The following is a 27,952-nucleotide window of genomic DNA, read 5'->3' on the forward strand; positions in this document are numbered from 1 at the left end:
CGAAGGGCCACTGCCGTGTTGAAGAATCACCACCAGTTTGAGGATCCAGCAGAAATTTCTGTTTGTTCACAGGACGGTGCCAGGCAGGTTCTCATGGACTCACAGGCCCAGCCAGCGTGGTAGGCTGGCTTTACATTGATCTTTTTTAGATGTGGGGGTTAACAGTAAGATTCTTTATGGGAAGAGAGAAGTGAGTGTGTGCACCATTGCCAAATAAGAAAACAGATTTTTTAACAGCCAAGTAGATGATTCCTTCTGCTCAAGTTTCTTTTATGAGAGGCACATTCCAGGTATTGAACCATCCTTGAATGACACCACAGGGACTGATGGAGGGAACCCTGGATTTTAGCTATGAAGGGAGAGGTTGCGGTGCTCAGGGTCAGGATCTTCAGTGTTGAAGGCTGTGTCTGCAATTGCTTACGGGTTCATGAAATCGCCACTGCAGCTATCTGCTTACCTGGGCTCCAGGTGGAAGAGCCCCTAGCTTGTCCCAGGAGTTTCAGGTTCTCTGGGTTTTACAAAGGGCTTTCCTGTCCTCCTCTCCACTGCTCTGCTGGTACTCCAGGGTCTGGGCAGTGGCTGCTGTTGTCACCTTATTCCAGGGCTGAGGACCTGAGGCTCAGGGAGCGAGGAGCCTGCCCGAGGTGAGCAGCAGGGTCATCCCAGCAAGTGAAGGGGCAATCTCCTCTTCTCTGGGCTGAGCTGGGTTTGGCCCCCACCACTGTATGGGGCTTCATGCCGGGGGAACCCACAGTGGGGTTAAACAGAAAGGCCTCCTGGAGGAAGGAAAAGATTCCCAGAGTTCTATGCTTCAAGTCATTTTGGTTAAAAAAAAAAAAAACTAATTAGAGGTGACAATGGTGACTTTGTCTGTGTGTTCACTTTTTCCTCCTTCTTCCCCACACCTCCCCCTTCTCCCTGTCCCTCATTTGTTGTATCCATGGGAAAACTAGGTAACATTATAATTACTGAAAATATTGTGGGTACGTGGAAGCTAGGAGTGGGGGGTGCCTGGGAGTGCAGGAGGCCCTTTAAAAAAATTTTTTTTTTTTAGGTTTTATTTTATTTTTTTCCTTTCGTTTGGAAACGGAGCCCTTTGCAGTCATGCTGTCACAGTTAAAATAAGGTTTAAATTACAGGCCAGCCCGTGGCTTTTCCCCTTTCTTTCAGAATTTTTGCCAACTTGCAATTTACTTAATGAAATCCTGCTATTCCGTTTAACAGGGATATTTTTTGCAGATGTTGATTTAACTTAGCTTTGCAAAATATGTGAACTGTACCGTTTCTTTTCCTATTTTTAACGGTTTCAGGATTCTAGTTCAGCAGCTCCACTGGCGCTGCCATGCCAACAGTGGTGTTTACTCCCATCCCTTGAAAATATTTGTTTTCCATCGTTCTGTCTGCCCTCCCCTCCATCCCACATACCCACAAAGGGGAGGGTCCCATACACATGGCAGAATCTGCCAGTGGAGATTGGGGCCAGAAGGGACACCAGAGTTTCCGATAGTCCATCCTCTTAGGTTTGAGGAAACCAAAGCCCAGGGCTTAACTTGCCTAAAATCACAAAGTGAATTCGGGCAGAGTGGTTTGCAGCATGAGCTGTGTCCTCTGGACAGAGGTGAGGGTGGAGGATGGGAGGGAGATGCTCCCCTTGTGTCTGTTTTGGCTGTTTCTTCTCCCTGGGAAGATTCCTTCCTCCTCCCCTACAGGGAGCTTTGGGCCCGATACTCATATGTTGGGAGGGAAGTTCTGCCTCATGTCTACCTGAGACGGTTGTGGTGTAGTGGAAAAAACCCTGACTGGGAGTCCTTAGACTTTGGGTTAGCGATGGGGGGCTTCTGCTGCTGACTAGCTCTGGTGTCCTGAGGACATGGCTTAATCTCCCTGAGCCTCAGTTTCCCCATCTGTAGTGTACGTGATAGTCCTCGTCTCCCGTTCATGCCATAAGGATCTAATAGAGCGGGCTGGTGTGAGACACGCAAAACACAGCAGACGTCCAGGGAACAAAACTTCCTCACCAACTGCCAACTCCAATACGCAGGGTACGGGAGGAGGCGTGGTGTGCAGCCCCGACGTCTCCCTCTGAAGGAGTGAACCTGGTGTCTAGGGGGTGTCAGACATAGCAAGAAATGCCGCTTTCCTTTCAGCTTGGGGATCCCCTCCAGCCACCCTTTCCTTAAGGAGGAGTCCCCCACAATGACAGAGGTTCATGTGGACTCAGGAGACAGCGGACACATTATTTAGCCCAGGGGAGTGAGCAGAGGCCCAGAGATGGTGTGGGGCTGGCTGGAGGCAGAGCTGAACCCAGGCTCACTCCTGAGGGGTGTCCAGCAGGACCCTCAGGCTGGGTCTCCCAGGCCGGGGGCTGGTCTGCCTTGATGCCGGCCCCTTCTGGCCCTTGTCCCACAGTCTCTTGGAGGTCCTGCTTAGCTCTGACACTCTGGGGAGGGATGAAGAGAATTCTGAAGGTGGGGCCCCCTGGCAGAGGCATGAGGGCAGTAGTTCAGTGCCTGGAGGGGGTCTGGCCAGGGCTGCCCTGAGCGCCGCATTCTGCTCACACAGCCTGGATGCCAGAATGTCCACCGAGCCGCGAAGGAAGTGCTGGCAGGACAACAGAGTGGCATGGAATGCGCTGGGCATCCTGGGCACCGGGGTAGGCTCTGCAGACGTGGTGGTGGTGGCCTGACTAGGGGCAGTAGGGACAGCTCTCAGGCACGTGTGCCTACCTCAGACAGCACTTTCCCGTGGCCACCAGCAGAGCCCAGAGGGGCCAGCTTCTTGTTAGTCTGATGGAGTGGGCGTGGGACCCTCCTTCAAGCGAATTCCACATTTACTCCATGGATAGAAAGTTGTTGTCATTGTGTGTCTGCGGGTGGACGCAGTGGCAGGAAAGTGTGACTGGAACTTTTGCTGACCTGAGAATTAACCACAGAGATCCCTGTATATTCACAACTCTTGGTTCTTGAAAACTCTTTTTTATTATTAATATGAAGTAATACATGATTAAGCAAGAAATATAGTGACATTCTCTCTATATAGAATTTAAACACTGCTAAAGCAGAATCCTCTCTTTCTTCCCCATCCCAGTCTTCTCTTGAGAGGGAATTCCAAAGCTTGGCAGGATGGAAACAACAACAAAACATGATAAATTTCAAAAAACAGAACAGCATGGCAGGTCCAAATACTCATAACAGTAAATACGAATGTGTTAAAATAATCTATTAAAAGATAAACACTCTCAGGGCCAGGTGTGGTGGCTTATGCCCGTAATCCCAGCACTTTGGGAGGCCGAGGTGGACGGATCATCTGAGGTCAGGAGTTTGAGACAAGCCTGACCAACATGGTGAAACCCCGTCTCTGCTAAAAATACAAAAATTAGCCTGGCACGGTTGCAGGCATGTATAGTCCCAGGTACTCGGGAGGCTGAGGCAGGAAAATCACTTGAACCTGGGAGGCAGAGTTTGTAGTGAGCTGAGATCGTGCCGTTGCATTCCAGCCTGGGTGACAGAGTGAGACTCTGTCTCCAGAAGAAAAAAAAAAAAGATAAATGCTCTCAGATTTTGTCTTTATGCATCCAGCTACATGCTAATCTAGAAGAGACACACCTTAACAAAATTATGGAGAAAGGTTGAATCTAAAGGGAATGGGAAAAGACATAGAAGTCAATGCTAAAGAAAAAGAAAGCAAGAGGAGCAATATTAATATGAAGTAATAATATTTCAGGCAAAAAAGCAGGAACCAAGAGGTTCAGAGCAAACTTTTTCTGTAAAATGGATAGTAAACACTTTAGGCTTTGCAGGGCACACAGTCTCTGTTGCAACAATTCAACTCTGCCACTGTAGCCCGAGGACATCTATAGATAATACATAAAACAATGAGTAAGCCTACGTTCCAACAAAACTCGGTAAAAACAGCTGGCAGGCCAAATTTCTCTTTTGCTGATTCCTTATTTATATCAAAGCCAAAATGATCTGTAAGGTATAATAATCAATAATCTTTGTACACCTGACAACATGTCTTTGAAATACCTAAATCAAAAATGGACAGAAATAAGAGAATTTGATAAATCCCCAGAAAAGTGGGGCTTTATAATCATGCTTTCAGAAGTGCACAGACCTACTGGACAGAGAGGAAGAGAGAGAGAGAGAGAGAGAGAAATATTCATGAACAACACAGCAAACTTTTTTTGTTTCAACAGCTTTTGGGGTACAAGTAGCTTTTGGTTACATGGATGAATTCTATAGCGATGAATTCTGAGATTTTAGTACACCTGTCACCTGAGCAGTGTACACTGTACCCAGTATGTATGGGCACTTAGGTCAGTTCCATATCTTTGTGACTATGGATTGCAGCACAGTAAACTTGATGATCTACATATGTATATCTTTATAGATGCTCATCCCACCGTGCTTTGTTGGATCTTCGTTTACTCCTTTTATTTTTTAAACTAGAGTGATCTGTCCTACCTCTAAATAGGCTTCACAAATAAAGACCAGGAACAAAAGCTCTGAATCTTCACTGCTTTGTACAGTCCTAGAGTTTGCACTTGTAGAATCCACTTGTCTTCTAGTATTATTCACATTCACTTGTCGGCACCAGGTTGGATCCTGAGATCCAGAGGTAGTGTGAGCAGGGTCCCTGCCCTCTGTTGGGGTGTGCATACCTGAGATTGGGAACTGTTTGGGTTCTGGCTCTCCTTGCCCAACACAGGTGCTTACTCCTGACCAGATAGTCAAGGCCCGGCATGGTCTGGTCCCCAGGCGGCCTCTGCAGACTTTTCACTAGCCCTTCTGCAATCTGGTCAAACGAGACCTTTCTGGCCTTGTCTCCTGCCCGTGTGCCTCTGCCCATGCCGTTCCCCAAACCTGGAATGCCGCTTTTCCTCCCCATCCCTCCCACCCTCCCCGCCACTGCACTCAGCCTTCAAATCCTTGATTGTTAACCTTCCTTTTCTAGATGGTTGTGATGTCTCTGTGTTCCTTGCCTCACTGCCCCTCATTTATAATGCTCTTTTGCGATCACACCCTTTCTTCCTGTTGGACTTGGAGCTTTGCAGGCAGAGATGTGTCTCGGTCTCCTGGTGCCCCATGCAGAGCAGTGCCCATCATGGGTGCTAGGCAGTGCCTGTGGAATCCAGAGAAGGGAAGGAAGGCAGCATGGGGGGAAGACTCCCTGCGTGCCAGAGCAGAACAGTCAGAAACCTGTACCGCCGGTGACTTTGAAAATTAAGAACATCTATGTTGTAGGGTTGTTGTGAGAACTAGGTGTGCCTGGCACATGGCGGGCTCGAAGGACTCGTCAGTGATTAGTACTTTAGTCCCTTTCCAGTGATTCATCCTCATGGCTGCTCCTGATCTCATGTCACAGTTGGGGAACCTGAGGCCCAGAGAGGCTGAGGCATTCATCCCAGACACACAGCTAGGAAGTGGCAGAGCTAGGATTTGAACTGAGGTCCTTGATTCCAAATCCCACAGGGAGGTGCACACTGTCCCAAGGGCCTGTCCTCAAACACACCCAGACACACTAGTCAGGGCCATCCGTGACGGCTCCAGAGTGTCGCCTTCCCAGCCAGTCTCCCAGGCCTGGCGCTGGGACCAACCACGTCCGTCTCATGCTAGGAAGTTGACTTGGTTTGGTCTCCTTCCTGCCCTTGTCATCCCTCCCTGGAGGAAGCTAACTCCCTCCCCACCATGCCAGGCTGTTGAACCCTCCTCTCGAGGGATCATGACATATCAGAGTCAGAAAAGGGGCCTCCTAAATCTTGTTAAAAACATAGATTCCCGGGCTCCACCCAGGACCCATGAATGAGAACCTCCAGGGGCGGGGCCTGGGAATCTGGACACGAGGGCAGGAGAAACACTGCCTCTTTAACCCTTTTATTTTTCAGTTGAGGAAGCTGGAACTCAGATGGGGCGTCTGGATTGCCACGAGGTCCAGTGAGCCTGAGAGCCGGGAAAACCCCTCTCTGGACTCTTACCTGGTCTGTGGCTTCTGTCACTTCCTAGCACTGTCCCTGTCCCTCCTGCCCCACCCCCAGCCTCAGAATCTCTAGCAGCCCCGTACAATGGAAGGGGTTGCGAACGGGTGTGCAGAGACTTTCTGGAAACCAAGCTCTGCTCTCAGACTTCCTGTGTCTTACAATGTTATCTTCAGAATAGGAAACTTTGCCCCATTTTTGCAACGCACATCCTTTGCCTGAGAGTTGGTGGTGGTGCTGGCCAGCCAGGGCGGGTCACTTTGCAGGCACAGGCAGGGAGTTGTTCCGACAGCGATGTGAGGAAGGACTCTCTCCCTTCTACCCACAAGAACAAATAAACAGACCATTTTGCAAAAATAATTCATGTTGGCTGGACTCACCAGGATTATTTGTCTCCGTTCCTTGGGCCTGGTGGTATCTAGGACGGGGGGCCCTTCCTCCGAGGCAGCAGCCCTAGCTATAAGGCCCTACCCTCCTGGATGACCTTGGATGAGTGATCTCTGCTCTCTGGGCCTTAGTTCCCTCTTCTGTAAAGGGAGGAGGTCAGGCTGAATAATCTCTAGCCCAGACATTCCCAAGGAATCCTTTAGATTCCCCTGGCTTCCTCCACGTTTCTTTGAAATACACACGCCCTTGCTGCTAGACGGTACATTCCACGGCACCCTGTACTTTTCAGAGCTTTTACCAACCCAAGAATGGCATGCCCACCTCACCCCATGACATTCACATGGCCCACTGGGGTGGTGTGTGGATTCCCCAGACACCAGAGTCCATTTTGAATTGGGAGCAAGGAAGTGACGCTCAGAACTCCCAGGCTGCGGCGTCTTCAGGCTTGCAGTCAGCTTAGCCCTAGGCGACTGCTCACCTCCTGCAGGCCAGCAGCAAAGAATGTTTGTGTTCTTCTTCCAGTCTGAGGGAGGGCTATTTTGATGTGAGAGAAAAAAATAATGCGTGTATAGCCCACTAAAGAACTTGGAACTGACCAGAAGGAAGGAATGATGTTTACAAAAACAAGAGTCTCCCTGATTTCCTTGGACTCCCCCGTTATTTTCTCCTCACTTCCACCTCCAGTGCCTCCCTTGCCGCACCATCAATCATTCCTCCAGTATGCCTGCGTGGGTGCATCCTTGCACACAGTAGGCGCTTAGCAAGCGGGTGAGAGGGGCCCTGTCTCAAGGAAACGCCTCTCTGGCATCTCAGTGGCACTTCTGCTGGCTGAAACCCAAACCCACAATGAGTGGTTCTTGAAAACATCCTACCCACTCTTTCCCCTCAGGGAATTTGCTTCCAGGGTTTCTGGGTGGAGCTCCCTGTGTTCAAGGCCTGGGCAGCCCTCCGTGGTGGGGTGGGAGCACTGTCGGGAGGGGGCACTTTGGGGGAGGCAGAGGTGGTCAGACTCCAGCAAGAAGGACCTGCTGGAAGTGGTTCTTGGTGGGTCTTCACAAATAAGTGAGTTGGTCTGCCTGTTTTAGAGTAAACGCCATGAGAGGAAAGAGGGCTGAACTCAGTGGATGCTCAGATTCCAGAGATATAGATAAAGAATCCCTTCCATCAACTGTACCGTTGATTAAGGGTCAGCTTCAGAACCCATGGTGTCTGTGGAAGAATGTCCATCTGGTGGTAGGATGCTTGCACAGTGCCAAGCCCCAACTGTGGTGTTTTTGTTGGTCTTACAATAGCAATTTTTGAAGCCCAAGGGGAAGATGCAGAGGAGTTGGTAGAGGGAGAGAGAAAAAGGAGTTCACCAATATACCTGGCTTCCCTGTCCCAAAGGAGGAGTTGTCCCCAAAGGACACAGCAGAGAGGTCCCTGCCAGTCTTGGGATCCCCTTCTGAGGCTGCTTCCTTCACGCAGTGGGTACAGTCAGGGTCTTGCTGAACCAGAAGATGTCCAAAGTGCCCTCAAGGCAAGCAGCAGCAGGGACCCCTTGCACAGTGGGCTCAGTGAGATCTGCTGAGCACCTCCAGAACTAGGAGATGGAAGGTGGAGGGGAAAAGAGCAATCTTCCAGTCTGGTGGCCAGGCCTGACTCCCTGCCCAAGGTCAGCATGCCACTTGGAGGTGCTCTGCACTCCTCAGGGTTCCTCAGGCTGGTGGGCTGCAGGGTAGCGCCAGGACAGGGGCACCCTGGGGAGACTGGCGGCTCTGGGTCTCCCTGGCATGGCTCCAGCCCCCACGTGCCCAGAGACACAGGCAGTTGCTCCTGACTTGGTGCCCTTGGGGACTGGCCCAGCCGGAACCTGCCATTCTCTCGTCAGTGCCGCCTCCCCGACTTGGCAGGGCCGTCTCCTTGAGCTGGAGCAGCCCTCGGTATTTCCAGCTTGGCCCCCTGCCCACCTCTCTGGGGCCTTGCAGTCTGTCCCTCTCGGGCCAGGACCGACGCACCCTCTCCACGCGATGGCTTCACAGCCTCGCCCAGGGCCTCTTCCTGCCACTCCACACTCCCCAGCTTATCTGGGGCCCCTCACCTCTGTCCTCTCCAGGGTTGAAAATGCTGCTTCCTCCCAGGGAGAGAACCTGGGGCCCAGCTAACATGTAAATCACCAAGGAAGCCACAAACAGGCTGTCCTTGGTTTACCTACTGCAGTTAACGCCTGAGGGGTTCCACACAGGGGTGGGGCCCCACCCTGCCCATTTGGAAAAGCCCGAGTTGGCAGAGCCCCCTGGCCAAACGCCCTAGGCAACGCTGCTTCTTGAAGATGGGCATGGAGATAACTGGGTGGCATGTTGGCATGCCAGAGCCAAGGGCTGCCACTCCTTCCTGGGCAGCCACTGACTACCAGAGCAGGGCTGAGGCGCCTCGGCCATCCACGGGACTTCCCTTCCAGATACACAGAGAAAGAACGCTGACAGCTCAGGGGCTCCTCACCAGTTCAGGCTGAGTGAGTGGTGGGTGATTGGAAAGGATACTGTCTAAGAAACCAGGTTTTGTGATTTCCAAATACTGTAGACTGTGATACTAACTGGATAATATTTCCCGTTAGAGGTCATGCAGAGATCTGCTTTCGAGAGCAGATAAGAGCGATTTGTAATTGGTATGCCAGTTGTTTATATAGTGCTAATAGGATAAACAGTTCTCCTGAACCTTATTTATATTTTGCATTTGTTTATCAAAACTTTTTTTTTTTTACTTCGACCCAGCTGCTTTCGGAATTATTACAAACTCTGGATTTATGAGTCCTAATTAATGGTACTTTATTGTATGTGCACAATAATTTATCTTGGTGGGATGCGTGCTTTATCCGAAAGCCTCAGTATTTAGGGAAGAGAAGCCAAGAGACAAAAGCGTCCCTTCCTCCCTAGAGTATATGAAGATATGGGGCCAAGTCATCTGTCTTGTCACATCAAAAGCAGATATAACATGGAATGCAGAAAGCATGAGATTTAAAGATCTTTCCTAGACTATATATCCTAAGGTGCTGAGTCCTTGGAACTCACAGTTGACAGCTCGGTGGATACTGTGGGTAAGGTTGACATACTGTAAGCTGTGTATGGGCCCAGAGGAGGGAAATGACCAAAAGGATACTAGGATACTCGATGGCATTTACCACGTAAGTGTTCGTCCTTGCTATGATAGGTTGCTGCCATCATTTTTGTCCTTCTTTGATCTCACGGCTTCATTTTGTCTTCCATCCAGCTAGCAGCAAAGGTTCAGCATTGTTGCTGACATCAAGTACCCATTCTAACTTGTAACTTAAAAGGAGGGAAAGACCTTTATTACTTTTAGGAATTAAAGACACTGCTCAGATTCCACCCCTGGGTTTCACCGCCATAGGGCTCCATTTCACGCCAAGGCTGGTCCCCTTGTTTCTCGGGGTGTTTGTCCATGCAAAGGCCTCCTGAAAACTTGACCCAGCAAAGAGGGATCACACTCCCATCCTCTCCCTCACCACCCCTGAAGATGCTTGAATGACTTTAATAAGGCTGAGTTGCAGCCCTCACCCCTGTTATCCCCACTACCCCAGTCACCTGGCACTTTCCTTCAGCCAGCGAGGAGAAAGCGAGTGGATGAGGTGAGAAGCAGCACCTGCTGTGGCTCAGGCTCAGGACTTCTTTTTTTTTTGAGACAGAGTCTGGCTCTGTCGCCCAGGCTGGAGTGCAGTGGCGCAATCTGGCTCACTGCAACCTCTGCCTCCTGGGTTCAAGTGATTCTCCTGCCTCAGCCTCCCGAGCAGCTGGGACTACAGGTGCCCGCCACCATGCCCGGCTACTTTTTTGTATTTTTAATAGAGACGGGGTTTCACCATGTTAGCCAGGATGGTCTCTATCTCCTGACCTCGTGATCTGCCTGCCTTGGCCTCCCAAAATGTTGGCATTACAGGCGTGAGCCACCATGCCTGGCCAGGATTGCTTCTTAACTTTAAGTCTTGGTGTATCCCTTTCCAGCTAGTAAGAATTACCAGAGGGGAGAGCTCATTGATTTCACTGATTACTCCCTTCCTACACAAACACACAGACCACTGCCTTACTTGATGGGGGAAGATCTCCCCATTTCACAGACAAGAGAAACCGAGTCACATTGTGGCTTTATGATGATGGGGGCATGCAGGTTGGGTTGGTGCTATGGGATAGAGTTGGGAAAAGCGACTTCTGGGTATTCGGGTTTTCTGCTGTTATTTTTAACTCTGGTGTTAGACGTCCTTTCTTGCAGCAGTAGCCACAACACAGGGCTGGGATGTTGTGCGACACTTGATGTAACTCAAAAGTCCCGGCCTGCAAGTTCCCCACTGAGGAGGAAGTGGTTAGGTGGCCAGGAATGCAACCTGCGCCTCCCAGATTAATTAATAATTGAGAGCTGGCCCCCAGCCAGACGGAGCTGAGAGAGATACAGTGAACAAAGAGTGGTTAACTACAGTGGGGGAAGGAAAAGTTTGACTTTGCCTGTGGCTAAAAGGGAAATTCACAATGGCCATGATTTATGGGCTGAATTACTCAGGATCCTCCTTAGTGGGCATGTGCTCTAGGAATGCAGACGCTGGCAGCCTGCAGGGCCATTTGTGCCCATAGGGAAGGGAGGTGGAAGGGATGGGGGGCAGGGGGCAGGCGCCAGCCTCGTAGAGGAGGTGCAAGTCACAACCGTGGGAGATGTCAGGGAGAGGGACTGTGCTGACTGCCTGTTGGAACTAGGTACAGGCTAGAAGTTGAGCACCGTCCAGGACGCACTCTGTGAAGAAAAATGGCAGGAAGAATGTCTGAGGGTCTGGCTGCCCTGGGTTTGGATTGGGGCTTGTCAGCTGTGTGACTTAGGCTGGGGGTTTAACCTCCCTGAGCCTTCATTTCCTCCTCTGTAAAATGATACCTGCTTCCTAGGATTGTTCTCAGCATTAAATGAGATGGGATACGTGGACATAGATGCTCAGTAGCCACTGGATTCCCACAGGAGACCCAGTGAGAACAGAGGGTGTCTGAAGCAACCTAAACAGGGTCCCTATTAGTGAATCTCTGCCAATGTTTGCTGGGCCCATGCATGTAAGTTGCCTGCTGGGTAGACCCCAGCAAGGCTTCTGTGTGATTCAGGAAAGGCACCCCCTCCTCTCACCTATCACACAGGTCCCTGTAGCTGCAAACAGCCCTCCGGAGGGGGAAACAGTTCTAGAAGGCACTTGGGCATTGCCATCATCGAGTTCAGCCCAGATGTCTCCCTGGGACTCTTGTCTTTTCTAGAAGAAATCCAGAATTATGAACTGGATCATGGAAAACATAGCATGCCCATCTTCACTGAAAAGTTAACCTTGGCAATAAAAGACCAAATAGAAGCCGGCTGACAGTTGTGATCACTGCCCTCATGTTATTGCTGTGTTGGTGTTAGTCACACAGTGTGTGCTCTTATCCAGACACAGGCTAAAGAATTACTCTGAGAAATATGAAACTCTTACTGAGATAATGATTCAACTTCTTCAAGATGCTGGGCGGGAGGCAGTGGCATTGGAAGGAGCATCTGATCCTGCTTTGTCATTAACCTTGTGGGCCATGGGGTAGTCACCAAACCTCTGTGAGCTTTATATTCCATAAGCTAAAACAAGGTCATTTATGAATGGGCTTGTAGAATTGGGAAACCTTCCACAGTTCAAAAGAACATCCCACCATCACCATCAATGAGGATAGAACTGCCTTCTTGGCATGGGCTGTGGGAACCAAGCTTGGCCTCCTTCTGCCTTGGAAACCAGTCTTGGACTTGGGATAGAGGTGTGGGTCCTGGGGTCTCTGTGGGGCTGTGTCTGCCTATTAGCCTGGTGGGATGGATATACTGGTTAGCTCCCTCCCTCCTTTGCACCCTTCACCCCTGATCATTGTAACAAGCCAGCTCTTTCCTGGCAGCTTGGGAGCTTGGGCATGGATGCGTCAAGCAGCTTCAACTTGCCTGCACAGTAGCACAGTCACAGAGAATAGACGGGTGGCCATGGCAGAGCCATGTACTTCTGCCAAGCCAGTAGGGCATTTTGCAACATTTTTGTTGGGAACGCTTAAGTCTCATGTTACTGCATTCTGTGCAGCAAATATTAGTATTTAATTGTGGATTAATAATCTCTCTAGTCAATATTAGCTTTTTGTTAATTATAAAGCATTCCGGTTTGTTCCAGAAACACACAAGAATGATCGAGGCAATCCTCACTTTAAGAAAATTCAGTATATAGGCCTCTGCATTCACCAGAGAGGTGTGGATCATGTATTTTTGTATAACAAAAGGCTATTTTAAAGGAAAGGATTTAATGCAGGAATTATTATCTAATGTCCCACCTTTGTACTTTTAATTTTGGAGTGATTATCCCAAGCTGCATCTTTTTTTTTTTTTTTTTTTTTTTTTTTGGAGACAGGGTCTTGTTCTGTTGGCCAGGCTGGAGTGCAGTGGTGCCACCACGGTTCACTGCAGCCTCGGCTTCCGAGGCTCAAGCAATCCTCCCACCTCAACCTCTAGAGTAGCTGGGGGACTACAGGTGCATGCCATCATGTCTGGATAATTTTTTATTTTTTTGTAGAGATGGGGACTTGCTATGTTGCCAGGGCACATCTTGAACTCCTGGGCGCAAGTGAACCTCTCACCTTGGCCTCCCAGAGTGCTGGGATTATAGGCATGAGCCACCATATCCAGCCTACATCTTTAGTGTAAATCGAGGCAGGTATATTTGATTTGCAAAGGTCACCTGATTCTGTCTAGTTGGTAAATTAACAACCAACTGGTGTTAGATATGAAGCTTACGTTTGAGAGCTTTGCAAATAAGAAAACCAGCTTCTCCACCCATTCTTTGGCTCTTCCATTCAAAGCTATGTTCCCTGTTCCATTTACTTTCATAGACTTAGCAAGCCAGAGAAATTAAATCCACCCCCATGGCCAGGTAAGATGACTTGTAGACTTTAGGTGATTTTATTTTATTTCATTTTATTTCGAGCCACTGAAACAAGGCTCACACATAGTAAGCTCATTTGCCATTCTGTTAACCAGGCTGCATCAGGAGGATCAGCAAATGGGGACAATGGTTCTCCTCACCTACCTAACATCCTGACCTCTGAGCATCAGTAGTACTCTCTGTTAAATGGCAACAATAATTGCCACAGTGCCTTTTTCAAACCTGGGGCTGGGTTTGAAAGGAGGCAGATGACTTTTCAAAAGCCCTTCCAGCCTTTGAGTTTTCATATTCAGCTCTGCATTGCCGAGAGCACCTCTGTTAGGCGACATAGTACCAGGTCCTTGGGGAGGAGAGGGGAGAGCAAGCCAGCTGAATCCCAGGCCAGCCTGCTGGTGGATGAATTGGATGGAGACACGTACCCTTCTGTTGACAGCATAAATTTGAGTGTCACAGAAGAGGGGTGTGTGATTCAGACCCAGGGGCTGAGGAAGGCTTTCCAAAGGAAGTGACAGTGGTGTCTGGATGGTTAAGCAAGTTTCTGACAAGTATTAGGGAATGGGGAAAGAAACTCCTGGTCATCGAGTGCCGGGTACTGTTGTCAAGCCCTTCTCGAAAACCCCTTAACCTGTGAGTTAGGTAATCACCTAGAGGAAACCAGCCCCTGGCAGGGCCGACTCCGCGGGTGTTGGATGTGTGGGGTAACTGAGGGCTGCTGCTCACAGAGGTCTCTGCTTAACGTAATGCTGTGCTTTCACCATCTTGAAAATCTTCCTAATTTTGGGACAAGGGGCCCTGCGTTTTCATTTTTCACTGGGCCCTCAAAAGTAGGTAGCTGGTCCTGGTTCTCAGAGATGTGGTCACCTGCCCACGGTAACATAGCTGTGAAGATTTGCACCAGTTCACCTCTCCATCATCTGTAGTCTCAGGAAGCATTCCAGATCAAGAGAGTGGATGGATGAAATTCACACTGGGTGGGGTGTTCAAAGCCCAGGGAGCTAAGCGGCCTGGTGGCAGGAGATGGTGAGGCCAAGGATTTGAGGGAGCTGGGCTGTGGGTACCTTACCTGGTTACCCCCTGGGACATTTCTACACCAGTGTGGGTGCCTGTTCCTGAGAGCTGAGACAGGCTAATTGAGGGCAATTTTTAGGTACTTTGCTTTTATGGCTTTATATTAGGTCCAAGAAGAAGTTTAAGGCAGGAGGTTTGCCAATAAAACACATTGTATTTGGGAAATAAAAGACAATTAGAGGTGCCTCAAGTTCTCTCAGCTCTGGGAACCTGCAAGATGAAGTATGTGCCCAAAGAAGGGCTTTTTTTCTTTTTTTGAGATGGAGTCTTGCTCTGTTGCCCAGTGTGCAGTGGCGCAATCTTGGCTCACTACAACCTCTACCTCCCGGGTTCAAGCGGTTCTCCTGCCTCAGCCTCCCAAGTAGCTGGGATTACAGGCATCCGCCACCACGCCCAGCTGATTTTTGTATTTTTAGTAGAGACAGGGTTTCACCATGTTGGCCAGGCTGGTTTCGAACTCCTGACCTCAGGCAATCCACCTGCCTTGGCCTCCCAAAGTGCCGGGATTGCAGCCGTGAGCCACTGCGCCCGGCCGAGAAGGGCTTTCTTGAAGCCTACCATCATCTGCTACAAACTAGCATCCCTGCACCTCTGATGCACACCCAGGCTGTCCCTATCTGAACCCCCAAAGGGCCAATTTTGTCTCTGTGGTCTCAGATTAACCAGGGACTTCAGGGTTGGGTTCAGTTGGTGAACTTGGGCATTTAATGCCTGAGATGAGAACTCAGGCCCAGCCTGATGTAAGAACCGGCGCGGCCTGATGTAAGGCCGGTGCGGGCACTGGTTTATATGTGATCCCAGCAGTTTGGCCATAAGCAGTGCAGACCCATGGAGCTGGGAGGATTTGGGGGCCCCTTCCCATTTCACAACTGCCACCTGGGGACCGAGGTACCCAGCTTCATTGTCTTGCACACTGTTATTTTAGAACCTTTCCAGGGGCAATAATGAAAGCAAGGCTTTCCCACCCCAGGTGGTCTCTGAGTAAGAAAACAAACAAACACACTCCAGAGTCCGACTTTATGATAAAACAAAAGAGGACTTGGAATGGGAGCAAAGTTCAGAGGCTTTGTTACAGAAACTGGTTCCTTCTCAAAACGTGGGCTGATTTTATAATCTGCTTATCTTGCCCTGGCTCTCCCTTTCCACCCTCCTTCCCTCTAGGACACAGGGAACCAGAGTTCCCTCACCTGGGCTCCTTTCCTCCCCAAGGGCCTGAGGGGGTTCCCTGCCTTGCTTGCCAGGTGGTCTTCTCCTTTTCAGGCTTAAGTAGTTGCAGTTTCTTTTAAGAGGGCAGCACCACTGTTTCTGGCACAGAGTCTGATGGATGAGTCCTCTGATGGAGGAGATAGCTCTACCACCAGCCTCCGCGTGGCTCTTCGAAGCTATAGCTGCCTGCGGAGAGTGTAGTGAAGGGAGCTTGTACCACAGAGCCCCGGGACCTGGAGAGAAAAGCCATGCTGTCTGGGCCCAGGGAACCTGGAACAGTCTTAGCGGGTGGGAGACGATCTCTTTGGCATGGCCAGACCGGTGAGCTGCAGGTGGAGGGCAGGTAGAGGCGTGCTGATGGGAGTGGGGCCTCCGGTTTCATCCTCTGGTGGGTCCCCTTGCCCGTTGGAGTGGTAAGGCCTAATATCTCCTGGGGAAACGGTCTATGGAGGAGACACTGAGCAGGCCTGTGTAGTAGGAGGACCTGGGTGAATAAAAAGCTTGTTTTGTGTCAGGGTTGCAAGATGAGTTCATCTGTTCAGGATTTGTTTGAATACTGCAAGAGATAAAAGAATGGAAACCTTACCCATCACAGCCCAGGCCGCCACTTTGTTCTGCCAGAGAGGTGGGGCCAAGCAGGCTGCAGTCAGGGCGCTGAGGCTGAAAGAAAGGCCTTTCTGCAGAGAAAAGCCGGCAGAAAACCCTTGGCCTCCAGAGGGCTGGGTACAGCCCAGCTAGGTGGCCACCGACAGGATACCCCAGATCACTCCTAAACCCCTCCTGCGACTGGGGGACTCTGAGGACCACCCAAGAGAGCTAAGGGAGCATATGAGGCAGCACCAAGGTGGGCTCAGGGTCGGGATTCCTGCGCTGCACTCTGACTTTGGGTCTGTCCTGAGGATGGGGATGATTCTGCCTCCTGGACTTGCACAGTTCAAAAAGGATCATGAATGAAGCGTGTAGAGCGCCTCCCACTTCCCTGGGACTAGCCGGGGCTAGCAGCCCTTTCCCAAGATCAATTATTATGATTGTAGCCCATCTACAAAATACTCATTTTTGTATTTTAGAAGGGTAGAATGCTTGAGTGTGGGGGAGAAACTACACTCAAAAGCCAAAAAGTGTGTTTCCAGGGCTGCATAGGGTACCAGAAACAGCTGTTAAGGTGTGATATTTGAAAAGCCCACCGCCCTCCTAGGAAGATGGGCAGCATGTCGTGGGGCAGTGTCGTTAGCACTGTCACCTTCGAGGATCCCTCTTCACGTCCAGTGTTTGCAGAACCCCCACGTGGCTTGGAGTGGATGTGGCTAGCTTCTTATAGCATGGTCTCTGTGCCATTGCCCTGAAGTCTTCTGGGATTTTGCAGCCCACAGGTTGCAGCCACAGGAGTAATGCAAAGAGTCCACATCTCTAAGCCTAGATAGATGGAAGCTCAAATCCCAATTCTGCAGCTTCCTGGCTGAGAGGTTGGGGTATGTTTCCGGACTTTCAGGCCTCAGCTCCCTCATCTTAAGATGGGAGAATTAACATATGTTCAGGTAGTGCATTTAAAGGGTTTCAGACACTGCCTGGTATTTGGTAAAGGTTTCTTAAATGTGAGCTAGTTTATTATATTATTATCGTGACTATTATTATTTCCCCTTGATTCTCAACTCCACTGGCACATATTATGTTTGCAGGTGTTACTACTGAATATGAATACCCTTATGAACTATACAGGCTGAGTCAATCTATCATATAATTTATATACACATGTAGATAAGGCTGCATGATAGTAATAATATTAGTAATCATAATAGCTGTTAACTTATGCAGTGCCTATTTTGAGCCAGGCATTATTTGACACACTTGAAATTAATCCCAGCACTCTGATGAAGTAACCACTGATTGCATCCCTGTGTTACAGGTTAGGAAACTGAGGCCTAAAAGGGTGAAGTCACTCGTCCAAGATTTCACAGCTGCTGAGTGGCAGAGCTGGGATTCACATGCAGGCACCTTTGCTCCCTAGTCCATTCTTTTAACCCTGTGCAGGAGACATCCTGGTCCCAGCTGTGTCGCTCATTTCCACTGTGATCTTGGCAAGTCACTTCACCTCTTTGAGCCTGTTTTTGCGCCTTGGCCATGTGGACGGCATGTTCCTCAGTCTCCCTCCTCCTGGTTCTGTCATGCTGCCCTCCTGTTCCCATCACACTCCCTGTCTTAGGGGCATCCCTCCACCCCCAGCCGACTAGCTGAGCAGCTGCCTGGAGGGTGGTGGCCAGTGTAGAGACCAGCCGCCAAAAGAGCCCCTGAGGTGGGCCCTGTGCAGGCAGGCTGCGGTGGTGGCCAGACCGCCCGTGATGTAATGACCGATTAGGAACTTCCCCTTGGAAGCCCGGCTTCCTCTAGGAGCCAAAGGTGCTGGAGCTGAGGTGGGGGGTGGGGAGGGGTGGGTGGGAGCGAGTAAGAGGAAACTCCTGTCAGCTGGGCCCAGCGTTTGGAAAGAGTTCAGCAGAGAGGCTCGTTCTAAGCTGTTGACCATTAACATGGCCCTGTACACATTCCTTCTCTGCTTTTACTGCCGGAGCCCGGTGGATAAAGAACTGGTCTTCCCCTCCCTTCACAAAGAAAAGAAAAAGAGCCTCTAATTAATGCTGCATCTCTAGACTTGCTGCAAAACCTGAAGCCATTTCTGCAGCTTAAAATGACAAAGGAGAGTTAAGTGGAAACTCCTTTTTCCCTCTAAGTTTGATAACAAAAACTACTTATCTAATGGGCAAACAAGGCTTTAAAAGGGGTGTTAGGTTAACCAGATGCAGGGCCACGTAATTACTCCCAGGCCTGGGAGCCACAGATGAAAAGCTGCCGGTTGGACTGGAACTTGAAGCCACAGGCATGACACGGGACAGAAGAAAGGAGTTTTCCAGGAGGGCAGGAGGCCTCAGTGCAGCCCTGTGCAAAGGGGATTGGAAAAGCCAGCCCTGGGCCCCTTTTCAGCTCTGCCACCAACTTGCTGGGTGACCCTGGGCAAGTCACTTAACTTCTCTGGGCTTCTGAGACTTTGAATATCTCTTCTTCGCTCTTGGTAGGGTCTGGGCCTGTCTGCCCTTGTTTCAGGCCCATCAATGAGGGGCTGAGCAGGCCCTTTTGGTCCAGCCCTGGGAGAGCCAGGGAGGTTGCTATGGCCCAGGTGGGTGTGAAGCAGCAGCAAAGACTTGGAAGGTGAAGGAGTAGGGACCGCCTGCTCCCCTGCTGACCTAGACCCCTGAAGACCCAGAGGACTCGGGCTGAGCCTCCCACGAATGCCCTGAACCTTTGAGTCTAAGCTGGGCACAACGCTGGTTCCTTCAGGGGTGGCTGAGTCCAAGGCAGTCTGGCCAAAAGGAAAGCGGGGAGCCGGAGGAAAGCAGGCTGCAGTTTATGCTCAGGCTCTTGGAGCATGCAGCCCACGGGGGAGCACACAGGAACGTTCCTGCCCTTTGTTTTGACAGAGAACTGCTGATTCGAAGAAGCGAAAAGGCTTTTCTTGGGATTTCAGCACTCCCCGCCTCCCTCAGACTGCAGTCAGCTCCCTTGGTGTCCCTGCACCCCCACAAAATTACATGTTGGGCTCGCAGCACCCTCCCTGGGCAGAGAGGCGTAGAGAAAAGAATGCCAGCCATCAGAGGGGCCGATTTCTGTGCAGGGGAGAAGGCCTATTGTTGGGACCAGTCACCACCTCCTCCTCGGCGCAGACAGCCACCACCCTCTGGTGGCAGGAATGTGGGTGCCACCGGGAGGGAACAGGGCTTGTCCCCTGGGCCACTGTGGAGCCCTGCTGGGGCCGCTCTAGGACAGCCACAGGACATTGCCACTTTCTTCTTTTTAATTTTTTCAAGGTATCATACCTAAAATGAAATCCACCGTTCTTTAAGTATCCAGGGTGTGGCTTTTTACAGCACAGATGCCCAAGTTCCCATGGTTCCAGTCAAGAAATAAGATATTTCCATCATGCTGGAAAGTTCTCTTGTGCCTCTTCCCAGCTGTCTCCCTCTCCCCAGGGGTAACCACTATTCTGATTTATTTTATTTTATTTTATTTTATTTTATTTTATTTTATTTTTTGAGACGGAGTTTCGCTCTTGTTGCCCAGGCTGGAGTGCAGTGGTGCAATCTTGGCTCACTGCAGCGTCCGCCTCCCGGGTTCTAGCGATTCTCTGCCTCAGCCTCCCGAATAGTTGGGATTAAGGCGCCCGCCACCACACCCGGGTGATTTTTTTGTATTTTTAATAGAGATGGGGTTCTGCCATGTTGGCCAGGCTGGTCTCGAACTCCTGACCTCAGGTGATCCACCCACCTCAGCCTCCCAAAGTGCTGAGATTACAGGCATGAGCCACCATGCCTGGCCACTGTTCTGATTTACGTCGCCGTAGATTAGTTTGCCTTTTCAAGAGTTTTGTCTTGGTGGAAACACACCGCGAACCCTGTGTCTGGCCTCTCGTGCTCAATGGGATGCCCTTCAGATTCATGCACCTTGTTGCAGGTTTCGGTAGCTTGTTCCTTTTTCTTGGTGAGTAGTGTTCCATTGGCTGGATGTGCCTAGTTTTTGTTTATTGGTTTTCTGTTGATAGATATCTGAGCTGGTTTCTGGGTTTGGGTGGTTAGGACTAGAGCTACTAGTCCTAGCAACATTAACTAAATCACGGAAATTTAGAGCTGGGGAGAGTAATGATCTCATTGTTCGGATGGGAAGACTGAGGCCAGAGGAGGGAGATGACCTGCTGGATCAGGGCCAGGAGGCAGGACTCCTCCCAGGCTAGTGCCACTCTGCCAGATCCACCCCAGACACAGCTCCTCTCCTCCTCCCCCTGGAACCCTCCCAGCAGGACCCAGAGTCTGGCTGGGAACTAGGCCAGGCCCTGAGCAGGGGGTAGTGAGCGGGAGTTTCGGTCAGAGCTCGGTCATCTTTGATGTTGTTCACTCGTGTCTGACTCCTTGGTATTTATTTGCAATTAAAGAGCTGGTTCCTAATTAGGCTGATGGCCGTGGGAGATGGCAGTACCACAGCCTAGGAACCACGAGGAGAAAAAGATCCTTCTGTAAGAGACTGTCCCCTCACCTGAGTGGCAGCCCAGGCTTGTGACTGAGAGGCACAGGGGGAGGGGGCTGTGCAGCTGTGGGAAGTACAGAGTGGGGACCATGGGTTAGGGGGTGCCCACCTTCTCACTCATAGTGTTGCAGAGCACGTCAGCTTGTGTTGGACACACCGCATGAAATCTGAATGCACGTATGTGTGTGAGAGAATGGAGCTAAAGCAGGGCTCATTCTAGACATTCAGACATTTGTTGCTTCATTCTTCCATTCCTTCACTCACTGGGCACCTCTTTCACCGCAGGTGCCAGGCTAGGGGCTAACCCCTAACATTTGTAAAGTGCTTTGCGGTTTGCAAAGGGCCTTGTCATCCACAGTCCTATTGAGACCTTCCATGGCAGTGACCCTGGGCCATGACCCCCAACCCCACTAAAGATCCCTGGCCTCTGAAGGGTAAGGCCAACACTGGAGCCCGTAAACAAGGCACCTCCTTCCTTCTGCACCCACTTGATTTTGCCAGAGTTTCCAGAAAATTCAGAGATGGACTGTGGTGAGTGGGGTACTTAATTATTGAATCAGTCCTTTTACAAATACAGAGACTGAGGCTTGGAGACGTTTAGCAGTTTATCGATGGCCACATATCCAGTCAGTGGTGGCAGCCTTAGGTCATTCTCACTGTGAAACCTTTTGGACCATGTGGCATGGATTAGAGTAGAATTCTGGGCTCTCAAGTTCTGGCCCTAGGTCTGCCACCTGCTGCTGTGTGTACTTGGGCAAGTCCCTTGACGCCCCCCAGGATGCTATCTTTGGGGCACCAGATTATTAGACTCCATTAGTGGTCCCAACAGGCCAGTCTCAGGACCAAGTTTTCATTGGTCCATGGTGACAGAAATAAAAATAAGTTAGAAAATAAGTCTGTACATGGCAAAATAAAGCGGTGGTAGTCTGGGTGAGCAGTGGCTCATGCCTGTAATTCCAACACTTTGGGAAACCAAGACAGGCAGATTGCTTGAGCCCAGGAGTTTGAGACCACCCTGGGTAACATGGCAAAACCCGGTGGTGTGTGCCTCTAATGCCAACTACTTGGGAAGCTGAGGAGGGAGAATCGCTTGAGCCTGGGAGGTCGAGGCCGCAGTGAGCCATGACTGCACCACAGTACTTCTGCCTGAGTGACAGAGTGAGACCATTGCTCAAACAAAAACAAAAACGAAGCAGTGGTCGCCCTGTGTCATTCCCAACTCCCCTGTTAAAAACATGTGTTGGTTTGTGGAAGCCTGAAGTGTTGGGTCTCACTGGATAAGATAATGTCAGCGGATACTCGAGCTCTGACGCCCTGGGACTGAGAGTTGAGTGGGGACAGGGAGGCTGAGTGGGTGGCTTACCCTCTGGATCAGACAAGAGACCCCAGTTTTTGCCCACCACGCTTCAGTGCCCTAGGGCCTGAGCCCAGCAGCCTACCTGCTGGGCAGGATTCCCCGTGGGGTGTGGGGTGGGGGCAATGTCTAGGCACTGGGACATATTTTATTTCCTGTCCCCTTCCCTTTTATTAGGTTGGTGCAAAAGTAATTGAGGCAGGAGGGTCACTTGAGCCCAGGAGTTTAAGCCCAGCCTGGGCAACAAAGCAAGACCTCATCTCTACAAAAAAGCTTTTGAAAATTAGCTGGGCATGATGATGTACATCGCAGTCCCAGCTATTCAGGAAGCTAAGACAGGAGGATTGCTTGAGCTCAAGGAATATATGCAGCCCTGGGATAGATGGAGACCCACCCCTCCCCTTACCAGTCAGAGAGTGTAGACCAACTGGGGGGCACTGACCAGGAGCGCAGACACCTGTTAAGGCCAAGGGAGGGGCTGCAGTTCAGGTGCCCCAGGAAGGAGAGGTCAGAGAGGGCTTCCCAGAGTGGCAGTCTGTCTCCCTGAATTTGGGAGACATGGCCAGGAGCGCAGGCCTGATGATGTGTAACCCAGTCTGTTCAACCAAGGAAGCCGCAGGGGATGGGGCCTGGCTCAAGCCCAGGGTGTCCCTTAGCTGGATGGCTGGGGCAGGCAAGGCCTGAAGGCGGCTCTATGGGTTCATCCCCAGTCATAGGGTACCATAAGGTGTGCTGGGGCTAGGCTGGGGACATGGGTTTTGATTGGGGGGATGGAAGGAGTTTGGCCTGGCTGGGGTGGAGGGAACTGAGAGGAGGGGGATAGGAAGTCCCACCTGTCCTTGAATTGAAAAACTTTCTTTTCTTTTCCTTTTTTTTTTTTTTTGAGACAAGGTCTCACTCTGTCATCCAGATTGGAATGCAGTAGCACAATGACTGTTCCCGGTAGCTTCAAACTTGGGCTCAAGCAATCCTCCTGTCTCAGCTTCCCAAGTAGCTGGGACTACAGATGTACACCATCATACCCACCTAATTTTTAAAAGTTTTTTTAGAGATGAGGTCTTGCTTTGTTGCCCATGCTGGGCTTAAACTCCTGAGCTCAAATGAGCCTCCTGCCTCAGCCTCCCAGAGTTCCCAGCCAGAAACCTTTTGGAAGCTGGGAAAGAGAAAGTCGCTTCCCCTGCCCCCTGTGCCCCTGTCCTTCCCCAGCTAGACTCTCCCTTTTTCCATGGGTGGGGCAGAGCTGTCACTCTGTGGCTGGGCAGCTGTCTCAGAGCCTTGTCTGTGAAGAGGTGCAGCAGTGACCCCTCCCTTAGTGAGACAGTAAAGTGAGTCCTCCAAGAGTGGGGATAGTGACACCTCAGCTTGTAAATAGTAACCTCTAGGGCTCATGGACCATGAGAGCAGTCATGCTTACATATAGGGAAACTGAGGCTTAGGGAGGTAGAGGGACTTGCTCAGTGTGCAGGTTTTAGGAAGGAGCCAGGACAGAACTCTATCTGGAGTGTGGAGAAGAGCTCCCCTCTAGAGTGTGGCCTAGCACCAAGGCGGCCCCAGCATTCACTGGTGTATACCCTGGGCCTCAGTTTCCTCACCTGTGGAATGGGCTGCTAGTAGAGGTGAGATGAGGCTGTTGTGAAGAACGGGCCCAGCTCGTAGAAGGCACTCATGGATGCCGTTGCCCGTCCTGTCTCCCAGCATACTCCAGGCATCGCTTCTTTGCATCCCCACCTTGCTGTGCCTGACACACTCGTGGAATTCTTGTTGGTTGGTGGGCAGTGTGGGTGCTGCAGTTTCGTGGCTAGGCTGGCATGGTGCTGCTTTTCTGGCCCTTGGGGACTCCCAGACCTGTGCCAGGTAGATGGCTGGGGAGAGGGGCACTGGAGTGGGGTGGCTGGGGAGAGGGGCACTGGAGTGGGGTGGCTGGAGCTCAGAGTCTGGCTGTTCCCAGCTGCCCACCTGCTGGGACTGGCCTGATGCTTGCAGCCTAGTGACCTCCCAAGGGCTTGAGCTGTCTCTGTCACTATTGCCCACTGGCTAAGGGGCAGTTCTGTCGAGGGCAGGATGCAGGACCTCTTCCTCCTCTCCTGACCATCAGCTGGAAGCATCAGAGGCCTCACTGGAGACTCTGAGGCAAAATGATCCAAGCTGCGGGCTGGTGTGAGGACTTGGATTACCCCCCAGCAGACTTGGGGACCTGTGTCTGGGACCTCAGTGCCAGGCCCAGGACAAGGGGCACACTCATGAAACCTGTATCCAGCCCAAAGCCACAGCAGAGCAGTCAGCCTCCAGGAGGCCCCTGAGGCAGACAGCCTCCTGCTGGGTGGCTGGGCGGGCCTCCCAGTGTGTAAGGGGATGTCAGGGGCCCTGCCACCCTGTTCTTCTGGGGCTTCTAGGCAGGGGCAAGACCAAGGCAAAGGCGTCCAGAGCTGGCCTCACTCAGGCTCCCAGGTGAAGCTGTTAGAAGTGTTGTCCTCTGGGATTTGGTTGGACTTTGATCAGTTTTCCTCAGAAAAAGAGCCATGAATTGCTTTGCTTTGCTCTGTCAAGCCTCCAGCAGAACGCCTCCCTCTGCACAGGCCCAGGCCAGAGACCTGTGTGGAAGCAGGCATGGCAGGCAAATCATGTCACCTCACTGGGCAGTTATAGGTGCCTGCCTGCTTCTCAGAGCTGTGAGCTCAAAGGAAAGGCCAGATGTCAGAATCTGAGAAGCTGGCCACATGAGAGCAGGGAGCACCCTGGCCTGTGTTGGTCTGAACTTTGGTCTCAGAAAATTGTTAAACTCCTCCAGACACACAGACGGCCCGAGTCAGTGACAAGGGATTTCAGTAACATCTTAGCTACCCCTTTGCTATACAGTGGGGAAACTGAGGCCCAGAGAGGAGCAGCACACACCTTCAATTGCTGGGCAGCTCCAGAGCCCTTAAGGAGCCATTTTCTTTGTCATTTAGGGACCCTCAGCTCCTCTGCCATGCAGAAGTAGCTGCAGTTCTGGTACAAACCTGCATTTCCTGCCAAGAAAGCCAACTCAGGTGGGCGGTACCAGGAGGCTAAGGCTGAGTCAGGGAGCAGTCAAGCAGTCATATTTATAACAAGGCCACCACAGGAATCCCACTGCTCCAGGCCGGAAGGGATCCTGGGGGCAACTCCTCCCACCCCCAGCCCGCCTCCCTGTGCTTGAGTCCTCTAATGTGATTTCAACCTCCCCCGCCATCCCCCAATAGCCTAACCCTACTCTGTCAGGTTGAGACTTGGACTAGTGGGTTCAAATTCTGGCGGGGTGCCCTCCTCTGTAGAACGAGGAGAAGGTGGCGTCCTTGCAGAGTGATCGTGAGGACCAAGTGAGTCCTGTGTGCTGTGAAGAGTAAGAAGTACAGTGCTCCACGCCGGGTCCGTGATGGTTGCTCCACAGTCAGCCCCTCCTTTGGGGGCGTGCAGGCAGTTGTCTGTCTCTCCTGCTAGCATGAAGAGGCAGGGGCAGGGTGTGCATGGTTCATGTCTGCGTCCGCAGCATCTAGCACACAACAGGTGCTCTCTGGCTTGCACTCTGTGGCTCATAACCTTTGTTTTCTCCTTTGTGTGAGCTTGTGTGTGTGAAAGAGATGTCCCGTTGTGCGCCATATTTCCTGAGGACAACCTGGCACACGGTGCCCACATGACTGCTGAATGCTGGAAACCTTACCCAGCTCCCACTGTGCAGACAGCAGTGCCCACCTCCGCTCCTCGGTGCCTCCCACCTCCCCACCCAGAATAACGCGGCGGTCCCTGTGCTTGTCCCGCAGACGCCAGCATGTCTCCGGACGCCACCAAGCCGAGCCACTGGTGCAGCGTGGCGTACTGGGAGCACCGGACGCGCGTGGGCCGCCTCTATGCGGTGTACGACCAGGCCGTCAGCATCTTCTACGACCTACCTCAGGGCAGCGGCTTCTGCCTGGGCCAGCTCAACCTGGAGCAGCGCAGCGAGTCGGTGCGGCGAACGCGCAGCAAGATCGGCTTCGGCATCCTGCTCAGCAAGGAGCCCGACGGCGTGTGGGCCTACAACCGCGGCGAGCACCCCATCTTCGTCAACTCCCCGACGCTGGACGCGCCCGGCGGCCGCGCCCTGGTCGTGCGCAAGGTGCCCCCCGGCTACTCCATCAAGGTGTTCGACTTCGAGCGCTCGGGCCTGCAGCACGCGCCCGAGCCCGACGCCGCCGACGGCCCCTACGACCCCAACAGCGTCCGCATCAGCTTCGCCAAGGGCTGGGGGCCCTGCTACTCCCGGCAGTTCATCACCTCCTGCCCCTGCTGGCTGGAGATCCTCCTCAACAACCCCAGATAGTGGCGGCCCCGGCGGGAGGGGCGGGTGGGAGGCCGCGGCCACCGCCACCTGCCGGCCTCGAGAGGGGCCGATGCCCAGAGACACAGCCCCCACGGACAAAACCCCCCAGATATCATCTACCTAGATTTAATATAAAGTTTTATATATTATATGGAAATATATATTATACTTGTAATTATGGAGTCATTTTTACAATGTAATTATTTATGTATGGTGCAATGTGTGTATATGGACAAAACAAGAAAGACGCACTTTGGCTTATAATTCTTTCAATACAGATATATTTTCTTTCTCTTCCTCCTTCCTCTTCCTTACTTTTTATATATATATATAAAGAAAATGATACAGCAGAGCTAGGTGGAAAAGCCTGGGTTTGGTGTATGGTTTTTGAGATATTAATGCCCAGACAAAAAGCTAATACCAGTCACTCGATAATAAAGTATTCGCATTATAGTTTTTTTTAAACTGTCTTCTTTTTACAAAGAGGGGCAGGTAGGGCTTCAGCGGATTTCTGACCCATCATGTACCTTGAAACTTGACCTCAGTTTTCAAGTTTTACTTTTATTGGATAAAGACAGAACAAATTGAAAAGGGAGGAAAGTCACATTTACTCTTAAGTAAACCAGAGAAAGTTCTGTTGTTCCTTCCTGCCCATGGCTATGGGGTGTCCAGTGGATAGGGATGGCGGTGGGGAAAAGAATACACTGGCCATTTATCCTGGACAAGCTCTTCCAGTCTGATGGAGGAGGTTCATGCCCTAGCCTAGAAAGGCCCAGGTCCATGCCCCCCATCTTTGAGTTATGAGCAAGCTAAAAGAAGACACTATTTCTCACCATTTTGTGGAAATGGCCTGGGGAACAAAGACTGAAATGGGCCTTGAGCCCACCTGCTACCTTGCAGAGAACCATCTCGAGCCCCGTAGATCTTTTTAGGACCTCCACAGGCTATTTCCCACCCCCCAGCCAAAAATAGCTCAGAATCTGCCCATCCAGGGCTGTATTAATGATTTATGTAAAGGCAGATGGTTTATTTCTACTTTGTGAAAGGGAAAAGTTGAGGTTCTGGAAGGTTAAATGATTTGCTCATGAGACAAAATCAAGGTTAGAAGTTACATGGAATTGTAGGACCAGAGCCATATCATTAGATCAGCTTTCTGAAGAATATTCTCAAAAAAAGAAAGTCTCCTTGGCCAGATAACTAAGAGGAATGTTTCATTGTATATCTTTTTTCTTGGAGATTTATATTAACATATTAAGTGCTCTGAGAAGTCCTGTGTATTATCTCTTGCTGCATAATAAATTATCCCCAAACTTAGCAGCTTAAAATAACTAACATTTATTATCTCCCACAGTTTCTGCAGGTCAGGAATCTGGGAGCAGCTTAGCCAAGTGGTTCTGGCTCGGGGTCTCTGGTGAGGTTGCCATCAAGCTGTCGGCCAGGGCTGCAGTCATCTGAGTCTTGACTGGGTCTGGGGGACCTGCTCCAAGCTCGCTCATGTAGCTGCTGGCAGGAGCCCTCAGTTCCCTGCCATGTGGGCATCTCCACTGGACTACTTATAACATGGCTTCCCCAGAACAAATGATCCAAAAGAGCAAGGGTGAAGTTGCTGGGGTTTTTTTC

At 51.0% G+C, this 27,952-nt stretch overlaps 1 protein-coding gene across 3 annotated transcripts in view, besides 8 other annotated features; it reads left to right on the top strand.

The window, feature by feature from the left end:
• Positions 1 to 27,646, top strand: part of SMAD6 (SMAD family member 6) — an 80,614-nt gene extending 52,968 nt beyond the window's left edge. For all 3 annotated transcript variants that reach the window (NR_027654.2, NM_005585.5, XM_011521561.3), the window contains one exon: positions 25,794 to 27,646. Coding sequence is in view for 2 of the 3 variants with exons in the window: in NM_005585.5 (NP_005576.3) it covers positions 25,794 to 26,332 (539 nt within the window). In the remaining variant the exon portion in view is untranslated. The remainder of the gene's footprint in view (positions 1 to 25,793) is intronic.
• Positions 2,480 to 3,038: an enhancer, noted in NCBI's record as "H3K4me1 hESC enhancer chr15:67050021-67050579 (GRCh37/hg19 assembly coordinates)". NCBI's record gives its function as "activates a minimal SCP1, AML or CMV promoter by ChIP-STARR-seq in naive H9 embryonic stem cells {active_cell/tissue: H9 hESC(naive)}" and the evidence as "EXISTENCE:reporter gene assay evidence [ECO:0000049][PMID:30033119]".
• Positions 7,750 to 8,479: an enhancer, noted in NCBI's record as "H3K4me1 hESC enhancer chr15:67055291-67056020 (GRCh37/hg19 assembly coordinates)". NCBI's record gives its function as "activates a minimal SCP1, AML or CMV promoter by ChIP-STARR-seq in primed H9 embryonic stem cells {active_cell/tissue: H9 hESC(primed)}" and the evidence as "EXISTENCE:reporter gene assay evidence [ECO:0000049][PMID:30033119]".
• Positions 10,366 to 10,935: an enhancer, noted in NCBI's record as "H3K27ac-H3K4me1 hESC enhancer chr15:67057907-67058476 (GRCh37/hg19 assembly coordinates)". NCBI's record gives its function as "activates a minimal SCP1, AML or CMV promoter by ChIP-STARR-seq in primed H9 embryonic stem cells {active_cell/tissue: H9 hESC(primed)}" and the evidence as "EXISTENCE:reporter gene assay evidence [ECO:0000049][PMID:30033119]".
• Positions 10,936 to 11,504: an enhancer, noted in NCBI's record as "H3K27ac-H3K4me1 hESC enhancer chr15:67058477-67059045 (GRCh37/hg19 assembly coordinates)". NCBI's record gives its function as "activates a minimal SCP1, AML or CMV promoter by ChIP-STARR-seq in primed H9 embryonic stem cells {active_cell/tissue: H9 hESC(primed)}" and the evidence as "EXISTENCE:reporter gene assay evidence [ECO:0000049][PMID:30033119]".
• Positions 14,566 to 15,127: an enhancer, noted in NCBI's record as "H3K4me1 hESC enhancer chr15:67062107-67062668 (GRCh37/hg19 assembly coordinates)". NCBI's record gives its function as "activates a minimal SCP1, AML or CMV promoter by ChIP-STARR-seq in primed H9 embryonic stem cells {active_cell/tissue: H9 hESC(primed)}" and the evidence as "EXISTENCE:reporter gene assay evidence [ECO:0000049][PMID:30033119]".
• Positions 15,371 to 15,515: an enhancer, noted in NCBI's record as "145 bp enhancer 143 fragment used in the MPRA reporter construct; PK_construct_1673". NCBI's record gives its function as "activates an SV40 promoter by MPRA in HepG2 cells {active_cell/tissue: HepG2}" and the evidence as "EXISTENCE:reporter gene assay evidence [ECO:0000049][PMID:23512712]".
• Positions 15,437 to 15,450: a transcriptional cis regulatory region, noted in NCBI's record as "HNF4 motif; enhancer activity is reduced when this motif is scrambled". NCBI's record gives its function as "necessary for full MPRA enhancer 143 activity {active_cell/tissue: HepG2}" and the evidence as "EXISTENCE:site-directed mutagenesis evidence [ECO:0005528][PMID:23512712]".
• Positions 19,212 to 19,261: an enhancer, noted in NCBI's record as "active region_9617". NCBI's record gives its function as "activates an Ori minimal core promoter by ATAC-STARR-seq in GM12878 lymphoblastoid cells {active_cell/tissue: GM12878}" and the evidence as "EXISTENCE:reporter gene assay evidence [ECO:0000049][PMID:35858748]".

The sequence above is a fragment of the Homo sapiens genome, chromosome 15 (assembly GCF_000001405.40).
Source record: "Homo sapiens chromosome 15, GRCh38.p14 Primary Assembly".
NCBI lineage: Eukaryota > Metazoa > Chordata > Mammalia > Primates > Hominidae > Homo > Homo sapiens.